General features: G+C 43.4%; 1 protein-coding gene across 2 annotated transcripts in view, besides 1 other annotated feature; it reads right to left on the reverse strand.

Moving 5' to 3' along the window:
• Positions 1–255: 255 nt before the first annotated feature.
• Positions 256–14,072, reverse strand: part of DCP1B (decapping mRNA 1B) — a 62,867-nt gene continuing 49,050 nt past the window's right edge. Inside the window, exons 8-11 of one of the 2 annotated variants that reach the window (NR_135060.2) lie at positions 11,081–11,953; positions 7,751–7,999; positions 4,817–4,951; positions 256–456 (exon numbers count right to left, since the gene is read on the reverse strand). Coding sequence is in view for 1 of the 2 variants with exons in the window: in NM_152640.5 (NP_689853.3) it covers positions 4,871–4,951; positions 7,751–7,999; positions 11,081–11,953 (1,203 nt within the window). In the remaining variant the exon portion in view is untranslated. Of the gene's footprint in view, positions 457–4,717; positions 4,952–7,750; positions 8,000–11,080; positions 11,954–14,072 lie in introns of those variants that run through there. The other variant, NM_152640.5, reaches the window with a different exon arrangement.
• Positions 12,722–13,921: an enhancer, noted in NCBI's record as "MED14-independent group 3 enhancer chr12:2063223-2064422 (GRCh37/hg19 assembly coordinates)". NCBI's record gives its function as "activates an origin of replication core promoter dependent on BRD2, BRD4, P300/CBP and CDK7 cofactors, and independent of MED14, by STARR-seq in HCT116 cells {active_cell/tissue: HCT116}" and the evidence as "EXISTENCE:reporter gene assay evidence [ECO:0000049][PMID:35650434]".

Consider the following 14,072-nt stretch of genomic DNA (forward strand, 5'->3'; position numbering starts at 1 on the left):
TGCTGTGTTTTTCAGCTCCATCAGGTCATATATGTTCTTCTCTAAACTGGTTATTCTAGTTAGCAGTTCCTGTAACCTTTTTTCAAGGTTCTTAGCTTCCTTGCATTGGGTTAGAACATGCTCCTTTAGCTTGGAGGAGTCTGTAACGACCCACCTTCTGAAGCCTACTTCTGTCAATTCATTCTCCATCCAGTTTTGTTCCCCTGCTGGCGAGGAGTTGTGATCCTTTGGAGGAGAAGAGGCATTCTGGTTTTTGGAATTTTTAGCCTTTTTGCACTGTTTTTTCCCCATCTTCGTGGATTTATCTTTGACACTGATGACCTTCGGATGGGGTTTTTGCGTGGACGTCCTTTTTGTTAATGTTGATGGTATTCCTTTCTGTTTGTTAGTTTTCCTTCTAACAGTCAGGCCCCTCTGCTGCAGGTCTGCTGGAGTTTGCTGGAGGTCCACTCTGCACTAAATATGGAAAGGAAAAACTGGTACCAGCCACTGCAAAAACATACCAAATTGTAAAGACCATCGACATTATGAAGAAACTGCATCAACTAACGGGCAAAATAACCAGCTAGCATCATAATGACAGGATCAAGTTTACACACAACAATATTAACCTTAAATGTAAATGGGCTAAATGCCCCAATTAAAAGACACAGAGTGGCAAATTGGATAAAGAGGCAAGACCCATCGGTGTGCTGTATTCAGGAGACCCATCTCACGTGCAAAGACACACATAGGCTCAAAATAAAGGGATGGAGGAATATTTACCAAGCAAATGGAAAGAAGAAAAAAAGCAGAAGTTGCAATCCTAGTCTCTGATAAAACAGACTTTAAACCAACAAAGATCAAAAAAGACAAAGAAGGGCATTACATAATGGTAAAGGGATCAATGCAACAAGAAGAGCTAACTATCCTAAATATATATGCACCCAACACAGGAGCACCCAGATTCATAAAGCAAGTTCCCAGAAACATACAAAGAGACTTAGACTCCTACATAATAATAGTGGGAGACTTTAACGCCCCTCTGTCAATATTAGACAGATCAATGAGACGGAAAATTAACAAGGATATTCAGGACTTGAACTCAGCTCTGGACCAAATGAACCTAACAGACATCTACAGAACTCTTCTCTCCAAATCAACAGAATATACATTCTTCTCAGTACCACATCACACTTATTCTAAAATTGACCACATAATCGGAAGTAAAGCACTCCTTAGCAAATGCAAAAGAATGGAAATCATAACAAACAGTCTCTCAGACCACTGTGCAATCAAATTAGAACTCAGGATTAAGAAACTCACTCAAAACCGCACAACTACACGGAAACTGAACAACCTGCTCCTGAATGACTACTGGGTAAATAACGAAATTAAGGCAGAAATAAGTAAGTTCTTTGAAACCAGGGAAAACAAAGACATATCGCACCAGAATCTCTGGGACACATCTATCTAAAGGAGTGTTTAGAGGGAAATTTATAGCACTAAAATGCCTGCAGAAGAAAGCGGGAATGATCTAAAATTGACACCCTAACATCACAATTAAAAGAACTAGAGAAGCAAGGGCAAACAAATTCAAAAGCTAACAGAAGACAAGAAATAACTAAAATCAGAGCAGAACTGAAGGAGACAGAAACACGAAAAACCCTTCAAAAAATCAATGAATCCAGGACCTGGTTTTTTGAAAAGATTAACAAAATAGATAGACTGCTAGCCAGAATAATAAAGAAGAAAAGAGAGAAGAGTCAAATAGACACAATAAAAAATGACAAAGGGGATATCACCACAGATCCCACAGAAATACAAACTACCATCAGAGAATACCATAAACACCTCTATGCAAATAAACAAGAAAATCTAGGAGAAATGGATAAATTCCTTGACACATACACCCTCCCAAGACTAAACCAGGAAGAAGTCGAAGCCCTGAATAGGCCAATAACAAGTTCTGAAATTGAGGCAGTAATTAATAGCCTATCAACCCAGGACCAGATGGATTCACAGCTGAATTCTACCAGAGGTACAAAGAGGAGCTGGTACCATTCCTTCTGAAACTATTCCAAACAGTAGAAAAAGAGAGACTCCTCCCTAACTCATTTTATGAGGCCAGCATCATCTTGATACCAAAACCTGGCAGAGACACACAACAAAAAAAGAAAATTTCAGGTCAATATCCCTGATGAACATCAAAGCGAAAATCCTTAATAAAATACTGGCAAACCGAATCCAGCAGCACATCAAAAAGCTTATCCACCACGATCATGTCAGCTTCATCCCTCGGATGCAAGGCTGGTTCAACATACACAAACCAATAAACGTCATCCATCACATAAACAGAACCAATGACAAAAACCACATGATTATCTCAATAGATGCAGAAAAGGCCTTCGATAAAATTCAACACCCCTTCACGCTAAAAACTCTCAATAAACTAGGTATTGATGGAATGTATCTCAAAATAATAAGAGCTATTTATGACAAACCCACAGCCAATATCATACTGAATGGGCAAAAGTTGAAAGCATTCCCTTTGAAAACTGGCACAAGACAAGGATGCCCTCTCTCAATACTCCTATTCAACATAGTATTGGAAGTTCTGGCCAGGGCAATCAGGCAAGAGAAAGAAATAATATTCAAATAGGAACAGAGGAAGTCAAATTGTCTCTGTTTGCAGATGACATGACTGTATATTTAGAAAACCCCATCGTCTCAGCCCAAAATCTTAAACTCATAAGCAATTTCAGCAAAGTCTCAGGATACAAAATCAATGTGCAAAAATCACAAGCATTCCTATACACCAATAATAGACAAACAGAGAGCCAAATCATAAGTGAACTCCCATTCACAATTGCTACAAAGATAATAAAATACCTAGGAATACAACTTACAAGGGATGTGAAGGATCTCTTCAAGGAGACCTACAAACCACAACTCAAGGAAATAAGAGAGGACACAAAGAAATGGAAAAACATTCCATGCTCATGGCTAGGAAGAATCAGTATGATCAAAATGGCCACACTGCCCAAAGTAATTTATAGATTCAATGCTATCCCCATCAAGCTACCATTGACTTTCTTCACAGAATTAGAAAAAACTACTTTAAATTTCATATGGAACCAAAAAAGAGCCCGTATAGCCAAGACAATCCTAAGTAAAAAGAACAAAGCTGCAGGCATCATGTTACCTGACTTCAAACTATACTACAAGGCTACAGTAACCAAAACAGCATGGTACTGGTACCAAAACAGATATACAGACCAAGGAACAGAACAGAGGCCCTCAGAAATAATGCCACACATCTACAACCATCTGACTTTTGACAAACCTGACAAAAACAAGCAATGGGGAAAGGATTCCCTATTTAATAAGTGGTGTTGGGAAAACTGGCTAGCCATATGCAGAAAGCTGAAACTGGACCCCTTCCTTACACCTTATACAAAAATTAACTCAAGATGGATTAAAGACTTAAATGTAAGACCTAAAACCATAAAAACCCTAGAAGAAAACCTAGGCAATACCGTTCAGGACATAGGCATGTGCAAAGACTTCATGACTAAAACACCAAAAGCAATGGCAACAAAAGCCAAAATTGACAAATGGGATCTGATTAAACTAAAGAGTTTCTGCACATCAAAAGAAACTATATCAGAATGAACAGGCAACCTACAGAATGGGAGAAATTTTTTGCAATCTGCCCATCTGACAAAGGGCTAATATCCAGAATCTACAAAGAACTTAAACAAATTTACAAGAAAAAAACAATCCCATCAAAAAGTGGGCAAAGTATATGAACAGACACTTCTCAAAAGAAGACATTTATGTGGCCAACAAACATGAAAAAAAGCTCATCATCACTGGTCATTAGAGAAATGCAAATCAAAGCCACAATGAGATACCATCTCACACCAGTTACAATGGTGATCATTAAAAAGTCAGGAAACAACAGATGCTGGAGAGGATGTGGAGAAACAGGAACGCTTTTACATTGTTGTTGGGAGTGTAAATTAGTTCAACCATTGTGGAAGACAGTGTGGTGATTCCTCAAGGATCTAGAACCAGAAATACCATTTGACCCAGCAATCCCATTACTGGGTATATACCCAAAGGATTATAACTCTAATTATTACCCATAACTAGGTATATACCCGAAGGATTATAACTCTACTTATTACTGGGTATATACCCAAAGGATTGTAACTCTACTATAATCAAAGGATTATCATTCCACTATCAAGACACATGCACACGTATGTTTATTGCAGCACTATTCACAATAGCAAAGACTTGGAACCAACCCAAATGTCCATTAATGATAGACTGGATAAAGAAAATACGGCATATATACACCCAGGGAATACTATGCAGCCATAAAAAAGAATGAGTTCTTGTCCTTTGCAGGGGCATGGATGAAGCTGGAAACCATCATTCTCAGCAAACTAACAAAGTAACAGAAAACCAAACACCACATGTTCTCACTCACAGGTGGGAATTGAACAATGAGAACACACGGACATAGGGAGGGGAACATCACACACTGGGGTCTGTCGCGGGGTGGGGGACTAGGGGAGGAAGCGCGTTAGGAGAAATACTAATGTAGATGATGGGTTGATGGGTGCAGCAAACCACCATGGCATGTGTATACCTATGTAACAAACCTGCATGTTCTGTACATGTACCCCAGAACTTAAAGTATAATAATAATTAAAAAACACTTGAGTATAAAAAAAAGTCTGAAACATTTTACTTCATATTACACATACTTTTTTTTTAAAAAAGGCAGAAACATTGAAGGAAACAACACTCAACATGAAAGAACCTTGTGCCGGAGTTCTAGAAGGACCTTGAAAATCAGTTTTAAAAGGCCTTGCTGTCACATAGTCTTTTTCATGGCTGCTTGAGTCATGCTGAAGAGATAGGCTTCATAGATTATATTTAAGAAGTTGTCATCATTCTGGAAAACAAATCGAAAGACCCAAGAGAATGTTACTTGGTTGGCAGACACAAAAGGCTTCCTCTGTCTTAGAGCTGAACTGGCCTTTGGATACTGAGACACTCATCTCTCCCTGTCTAACAGCTGGTGGTTTTTAATTGCATGTGTGAATGTTAAGTGGGGTTGACGGCAAGGCCGGACAGAGCTGATGGTTTTCCATGGTCAGTATGCACAGCAGCAAGAGCTCATTACATGCAGCACAGATGGGCAGCCCAGACACATGGCAGCATGGAGCAAGGTTTACTCAAGAACAGCCTGGGTCTGCTGCATGAAAAGACATGAAGCCCCAGCAGACAGAGGAGTTAGGAGGACATGATCCAAGTCAGTGGTCTCAAAGTTTGGTTAAGAGATTGCTGTGGTGTGTTTTTTTGTTTCTTGTTTTTTGGGTTTTTGAGACTGGGTCTCACTCTGTCACCCAAGCTAAAGTGCAGTAGTGCCATCATAGCTCACTGCAGCCTCAACCTCATGGGTTCAAGCGATCCTCCCACCTCAGCCTCCAGAGTAGCTAGGGCTACAGGTGCGTGCTACCATGCCTGGCTTTTAAGTTTTTTGTTAAGACAGGGTCTCACTATGTTGCTCAGGGTGGTCTTGAACTCCTGGGCTCAAGTGAGCCTCCCACTTTGGCCTCCCCAAGTGTTGGATTACAGGCATGAGCCACTGTGGTTCTTAAAGGCCCTCCAAGTCACCTACAATGTGTCTGCTTTGTTTTGGGCATTACTTAGGATTTTACTTGCAATATGCTTCATCAGTACTTCATCAAAGCTAATATAAGTCTTCCCATAAGTTATGGAAAGTTTCTAGCCTTGGCAAGTGGGCAGGAGTAAGACTGGTAATCTCTGGGCTCTTTTGCCTGGCTAAGGAGTGAGAATCACGGTCTAATCAGTGGTTTTCCTCATGTTTTAATTCTAGAGACTTCTCCCTCCCACCCAAATTCTTTACAGTGTTAGTAATTCACCCACACTTCACATTCCCCCTTCATTCCCTCTTGGCACCCCACACAGATTTAGCATCATTCTCATGCAATGAAGAGAGTGATGTTATCCCTCTTTTTCCTGCAAAGTAGTCACAAAGTTCCTCTGCATGAGATTGTGTCCTAACAAGAGGCAGAAACTAAAAACAGACTGCTTGAGTGACTGGGAATATGAGGTGTGGTACACGGGAAGAAGTAAAATGCACGCAGAGTGGAGGGCAGGGGAATGTAATTTCTAATCCGCCATGTTCAGCCACTACTCTGGAGTAGAGTCTCAAGACAATGTGAAGGGAATCAGCCAGAAAACATATGGATCTTTTAAATTACAACTTAAGAAACTGGCTCAAAGTAAAGAGGTTCACAGATGTCTAATTCCTCCTGAGCTTACTATGAATAGCTTTAAAAGGTGGCAAATATTTTTATCCTGATATTTACTTATGAATTAGTAGGGCTCAATCATTTGCTGTTGACCTTATTTATCTCTGATTGTTATTATGCTTCTGCTGACTTCTAGCCCCATTCCTTTCATTCTTCCTCAAACATGTTTCCTTCTTTTGTAGTCTCGCTATGTTGCTCAGGCTGGTCTTGAACTCCTGGCCTCAAGCAATGCTCCCACCTTGGCTTCCCAAAGTGCTGGGATTACAGGCGTGAGCAGCCACTGTGCCCGGCCAACATGGAACCTTTTTAAAAATGTTGTACTAATTGAGACCACTGTCTTTTTAAGTAGGATAAGACAACCGCAGAAGGGCTGGCCTGCTCTCTAAAGGCCGTCTGATGCTTAAGCAAAGTACCACACAAGTTTTCTTAAAGATTATCTACCAAAAAGACACCTAAATATGTTAACTGGGGTGTCTGAAGTCTGTCTGGCTACAAATGTTCCACTTTTCAAGGACTGCCGTTGATTTCTTGGGTGTGCTTTGCTAGGGCACCTGTGCTGAATGTTCTCCCGAGGCTGGTCCCTGCCAACATTCATGTGGTGAACGTGGCCCACGGGAGAGTACGTGGGAAGTGGCACTCGGGGGCCAGGCTGGGTGCATCCCAGCCCTGCTTATGTACGAGCTCCGTGCCTCAGGCCAGTTGCTCAGCCTCAGTTTCCTTGTCTGTAGAATGGGAAAAATAACAGGGTTGTTATGTAAGGAGTGAATGAGTTATATGCTTGTGTGTAGCACTGAAAATAGGGCCCGGCGCCAGCTCTGTGGAGTGTTAGCTATTATAGCACTCATTATTATTTCATAATTTCATAGGCAAGTGAGGCTAGCAGCTCACAAGGAGTCCTGTCACTCCATCCCGTCCTAATGAGCAGGTTTCAAAATGACTTGTAAAACATACCTGTAGCAGCCATGGCCATTATTTGCTTCCCTCCCTGTTTTCCACTCGCTCAGTGGCCTCTTCCCCACTCAACAGATGGCCCCTTGCCCAGGACTGCTCCCACCTCTACCTCCCAATGGTGAGTTTTCTGTCTGGGCCTCCAGCACCCAGGGTCCTCTCAGGGACTGCTTAATCCCCAGCATATGCTTCCTTCTCTTCTGACAGGTGACAGCTTGGAGGCCTTAGACAGTCCTTCAAATTACAAAATCCTTGAAGAGCTGAGACACCCAAGCCACACTTGGTATTATAAATAACACCTAGCTAACTGAGCACAGAAGCCGCTGGGGTCAGGATGAGTTGTTACACACACCTGTTATTCTCACGGAAGCTAAGCAGGCCTTGGCTGAGTCTTTATCTCATAGTTGCAGCCAGGAGGCCAACAGGCGTGGTCAGGTGCGAAGGGAGATGACGTGCTTGCTTACCTGAATGAGGTACAGCAGTGCCTCCTGGAGCTGGAGCTTGGTGAGTGGGCTGCTGGTGATCACGGAGGGCTCCGGGCTCTGTATGGGCAGGAGGAGGCTGGTGGCAGCAGCAGGTGGCTCCTGGCCTCCCACAGGCAAGAGGCCGCTCTCCCTTTCCTTTGGCGGGACGGAGGTGGGTTGTGCGAACACCATGGGGGACATAAGCAGAGACGGAGCTGCTGTAGCAGGGATGCGCTGAGGTGAGATGACCTGCTCACAGCAAATACACACAGAGAGCGGGGTTCAGGAGCAGCTCACGGCATGATAGCTTGCAGCGGCAGATACGGGTGGTCTAAGCATTCCCTGTCCACAGCTTTCCTAGCTGAGAAAAGTTTATGGGAAACTGATTCTTGCTCCACTGCTCCATGCACCTTCCTTCAGCATCACTGAGCAGCTCTGGTATCGTCTGCTGTGGGGACTATTCTTTCCACTGCATATGCAGCTTGGCCTCTGGGTGACAGCTTATTTTTCAGGCTACCAGTATTTGGCAAGTGCATTTAGGACTACTGACCTTTTCCTTAGACCTGGTTGTCCATGACCCTGACCTAAAGGTCTCACAACCTATGTGAGCTGCCACCCTTGTTAGGGGCCTCCCCATTTCCCCTCCTGACCCCGGAGCACAGGAGGCGCTGTGAGAGCAACTCCCCGCCCCTCCTGCGGCCTCACTCACTTCTCGTGGGGAGGGAGAGTGATGTGTGGGTCCACCCCTTCTGGGTCCTTCCCTGACAGGATCTGCCTGCCTGCAGAGAGCCCTCATCTTCAGCTTCCGCAGCTGATGTGTTTGGGCTGACCCGGGCGGCCTGTTGCTCAGCCCTGCCAGAGCCTGTCTGCTGAGTCTAACTCCCTTGGCAAACAGACCTGAAACCAAGTTTTCTAACAGCCCTTTCAGTTATGCAAGTGACATTTTGATCCTTATCTGACTGACTCCTACAGCTATCATTTGCTTCTAACTCAGGGAAGAAAAAGAATGTTATTTATCAGCCTCCGAACTCCCCGAAAGAACTCCTAAGAGGGAGGCAAGGAGGCCAGCAAGCTAGAAGTTGCTGTAATTTTATAATCAATCCCTTAGCGTCTCTTTGAGCAAAAGTTGGCCTAGAGGAAGGCAGGCTGTTTCTTTTAACTTGTCCCTACATGACATTTCGAGGAGCGGTGCTGAGCAGTGATGCTCCCGGAGGTGGAGTCAAGCATTCTGAGCACAGCGTGGGCTGCTGAAATGCTTGCCTTTCTCACTCGGCTCTTGATATTTGTGAGTACTGAAAAGTCAAGGGAGTTGTACATCAGAAATTTAAGTCAGACTATATTCATCGCATGCTTCTAATTCTAAATCATCAAAGAGGAAAAAAGCAGACATTTTTAAAAAAGGGACAATAACACTGAAATGAGGGGGAGTGGGAGTTATAAATATTGTTTCTATAGCAGTCGGTACTCAGATTTGGGATGTTAATAAATAATAAATGAGAACACTTTGACTCAGGGGCTCACAAAGACTTTTGGCACATGCCTAAGGTCTTTGTTTTCAAAAAACTGAATTTTTTGTTTTGAGACAAGGTCTCACTCTACTGCCCAGGCTGGAGTGCAGTGGTGCAAACATGGCTGACTGCAGCCTCAACTTCTTGGGCTCAAGCAATCTTCCCACTTCAGCCTCCCAAGTAGCTGGGACCACAGTGGCATGCCACCATACCCGGCTAATTAAAAACAAAAAATTCTTGTAGAGACAGGGTCTATGTTGCCCAGGCTGGTCTGAAACTCCTAGGTTCAAGCGATTCTCCTATCTTAACCTCCAAAGTGCTGGGATTACAGGCACGAGTCACCATGCCCAGCCAAAAGTTCAAGATTTTTGAGAAACTGTTATAAGTTACATAACAGGCCAGGTGCAGTGGCTCACGACTGTAATCCCAGCACTCTGAGAGCCCGAGGTGGGTGGATCACCTGAGGTCAGAAGTTCGAGACCAGCCAGGCCAACATCGTGACACCTCGTCTCTACTAAAAAAATACAAAAAATTAGCCAGGTGTGGTGGCAGGTGCCTGTAATCCCTGCTACTCAGGAGGCTGAGGCAGCAGAATCGCCTGAACCCGGGAGGTGGAGGTTGCAGTGAGCCGAGATCGCACCATTGTACTCCAGCCTGGGCGACAAGAGTGAAACTCTGTCTCAAAAAACAAAAAAAGGTACATAACAAAACATGACAAAGGGCCAGTGATGATATATGTGATACACAGGGAGAACTTTCCAATTTTTAAACCCAATGTACTTTCAATGAATGTGTTCCAATCCAAAGGGAAAACAATTCAATGTCAGATCTCCAGATGTTACCCACAGGCAGATGATCAATAGCTTGTGGTTTCCTCACTGTCCCAAGTCAGTGATGGACATGGAAAAGCATCTTCTCTAAAGGAGAGAATCTTTCTAAAAACTGTCATATTTTCCCTCTCTGGCAGTTTGTGTGGGGGGTGGAGGTGGGTGGCATGCATACCTCTCCTGATCTACAGTAGGCTATACTGACGATACAGAGAAAGATAAAAACTGGCTGCACCTTTCAGGAGGAAATAGGCTGTTTTTTGTTTATTTCAAGAACCTACAGCATGGGCTGTGGGTAAGGAGTCTGTTTTCTTCATCATTATGTACCCACATGTAGACAATGCCTGACATGTAGTAAGTGCTCAAAAATATTTACTAAATAAGTGAATAATTTACTGTGGACTGAAAAACAAGAGGAGGTCAGTTGCTTGGCATTCCAGATTGATTTCAAGGCAGACCATACTAAGTTCCTACAGTCAAAAATTACGGTTTTCTCCCATGTCTGTGTTGGTCTTCAGACCTCCTAATATAACGAAGATTTAACTCTACAAGTAATGCTCTCAAAAAGGTTGGGGGAAGTTCTCAGATTGTTAACCAAAGTGAAGATTCTCCTTCCAGGTAGAAAGTTCAGGCAATCAAGATGCACGGAGGTGCACCCTGCTCCAAACAGAAATGTACGTGACACATTGGTCCCTAGAGCATGGAAGTGGACTCTACATTTCACTGCATTATAGTAATACCTTTTTCTTTGTCTGTCTTTTTTTTTCTTAACAGACAGGGTCTCGCTCTGTCACCCAGGCTGGAGTGCAGTGGCACGATCATGGTTCACTGTAACCTCCGCCTCTTGAGCTCAAGGGATCCTCCCACCTCAGCCTCCTCAGTAGCTGGTGCTATAGGCGTGTGACACCAAGCCTGGCTACTTTTTTTTTTTTTTTAGGGACAGGATCTTGCTATGCTGCCCAGGCTGTTTTATTTTGCCCCTGGTACATATTTACCTGGAAAAGAGGAGTCTGCTGTTCTGTGTTGGGTGTCTTGTTGATCCAGGATTCCAAGGGTTTCCCTGTTCCAGAGCTCTGAGCGAGCACAGGAAACTTAGCGGCCAAGGCTGGCCGGTTAGAGGCATGCAGCTGCTGCTCCTGCTGTACAATCTGAAGCTTCTTCAGTAACTCTTGAGGGGAGATCACTCCAGAGCTGCCAGTCTGACTACCAGAGATGGGGAGTGTTTGTCTTGGGAGTGTGGACTGTTCTCTTCCATGAGCCTGATGTCCTACTGTCTGAGGTGGAAGGGAGCCATTGAAATAGGCCTGTGGTGGCTGAGCCAGACCCTTTCCTGGAGCCACAGGGGTGACAGAAGTGGGAGCTCTGCTGCGGTTCAGGGCAGCTGAGCTGGCAGGTGCTGGTGTACTAGGGTCACACTTGTTTGCTGCCCCTGGGGTACTCTGAAGTTTCTCGAACAGGTTCTGAGTTCTGGAAGCATTTTGTACACCACGAGAAGTTCCAATGTTGTGAGGAGACCCTGGCTGGACAGGTCCTGTAAAAAATTCTCCCGCAGAATGGGTACTGCCATTTTCACAAGGCCGGTTTTCAGGCAGCTCTGACAATGGGTGGAGGTCTGCGCTCCTGACCATGAGTTTCTGAATGGCTGGACAGAGCTGCTTCTCAATGGGGGGTGAGTGTCTTCTGGGTTCCTCATAGGACAGGGAGCGTACAACCCCCTGCCTAATTGGAAGCTTCTCTTGCTGCTGCTGCTGCTGCTGCTGCTGCTGGTGGAGAGTCTGCGGAGGCTCCACAGTTTCCTGACATGTAGCTTTGTCCTGCTTCCCAAACAGAGCTGTCAAGGATAAGTGTTGGGGTTCAGGGTCTAAGGTCTGGAAAAAATAAAGATATCTGACATGAGTCTACAAACAATTTGGTTATATGAGGAAGTGCTATGAAACATAACTTATCTGATGACTTATTCTATTTACAAAGGATTGATTAGAGAGAATGAAAAATAATAATAATAAACTTGAAAAATGAGATCCCCTTTTTAATGTCAAAAATTTTCACAGCATGCTCCCCTTGCACCCCCAAAACAGTTATTATATTTTAATATCTGTTGACCGATAAAACAGGTATAAGATCTTCAAGGGCCTGGGGTTTCACAGATTGGGAACCACCTTGGTAGGAAATTATATGCACTAAAAAAATAAACAATCTGTTCAATAGGAAGCCCATCTAAGCCTGCAGAGTAATATGAGAATACAAAGGAATATAAGCATTTCAGAATTTCTAGTAGTTTTTCACAGAATTATGGAAATCAAGGGCTGGAAAGAAACGGAAGACTTTAAATCTAACTTGATCCTTTCAAATATATACTGGTAGGATTTAAAAAGTCCTTGGATACATAAAATCTACCTTGGCCCAGCCAGTTACAAAGCTACTTCCTTCTTGCTCTTTACTTCTGTTGCTTTCTGCATTGTTGCACTGAGAAAACATGAGGCTAGGCACAGTGGCTCATGCCTGTAATTCCTGCACTTTGGGAGGCCAAGGCAGGCAGACTGCTTGAGCTAAGGAGTTCAAGACCAGCCTGGGCAACATGGCAAAACCCCATCTCTACAAAAAATACAGAAATTGCCAGATGTGGCAGCACACGCCTGTAGTCCCAGCTACTTGGGAGGCTGAGGTGGGAGGATTGCTTGAGCCCAGGAGACACAAGTTGCAGTGAGCTGAGATGGTGCCACTGCACTCCAGCCCGGGTAACAGGAATGAAATCTGTCTCAAAAAAAAAAATAAAAGAGGAAAGAAAAAAAACCACAAGCTTCATTTTAAAGTCAACATATTCAGGTCTCGCTATTAAAATATAATAAAAACTTTCCATAAAACAAGCAATAAAAAGAAAGCTAAAAAATTAGAAGACTTCTTTTCTTTAAAAATTCAATATAAGATTTTCATTACTAGTCTTTATGTCTTTTGGCTCCATGTTCATTTTCAAAATTGATATAAACTAATTCCTTTAAGAAAATCTTTTTAATTAGTCATAGTCATGATAAAATGACACAGCAATATTATATTTACAATCATTAATGGGACCTACAGATTGACAATTTTTGTCATTGCTGTACTATTCTGAAGTGTATATATATATATATATACACTAACACAAAAGCTGCTGTAATATTTCTAATTTAGATTGCAAAGACAGTGACAAGTCATCATATCTGAAGAGGAGTTTTATACCATTCCTTTGGACTCTGAGCTCTCGGCGGCAGCTACCCCAGTCTACAGTGCTAGCTCTGCATCTGGCACAGAGGAGGTGCTCAGAAGTGCTCAAATCAACTCTGTGTCCTTGGTGGTTCTCCCAGGTGGCCTTGGGAAGCCACCCACCCCAGAAGAATATGGACCCAATGGGTAATGTTTCTGTCATCTCTGACAATGTTATTAGTTTTCTAGGGTGCTTGTTTGTTTGTTTTTGTTTTCTGAGACATGGTCTTGCTTTCTTGCCCAGGCTGGAGTGCAGTGGCGCATTCCATAGCTCACCGTAACCTCAAACTCCTAAGCTCAAGGGATCCTCCCGCCTCAGCCTCCAGAGCAGCTAGCACTACAGGTGCACGCCATCATGCCTGGCTAATTTTCCTGTAGAGATGGAGTCTCACTGTGTTGCCCAGGCTGCTCTCAAACTTCTGGCCTCAAATGATCCTCTCGCCTCAGCCTCTCAAAGTGCTGGGATTACAGGCTTGAGCCACTGTGCTGGCTTGTTGTTTTTTAAAAAATACATTATCTTTTAAGGAGTTCAAGTTCACAAGAGATTAGCACAGAATGTGGTATATGCCAAAAGTAAAAACTTTAACCCTCTTCTAGGAAGAGTAAGTTATTAATAATGAAAAAATCTGTATTCTGAAATCCCGCTTTCTTGGGTTTACCTGAAAGCATTCTTCAACAACACCAGGCCCTCCCCTGACTATATTCTGGGTCAAAGTTCTTTAAGAATTCTAGAGACACACTGAA

This window comes from Homo sapiens, chromosome 12 (assembly GCF_000001405.40).
Source record: "Homo sapiens chromosome 12, GRCh38.p14 Primary Assembly".
NCBI lineage: Eukaryota > Metazoa > Chordata > Mammalia > Primates > Hominidae > Homo > Homo sapiens.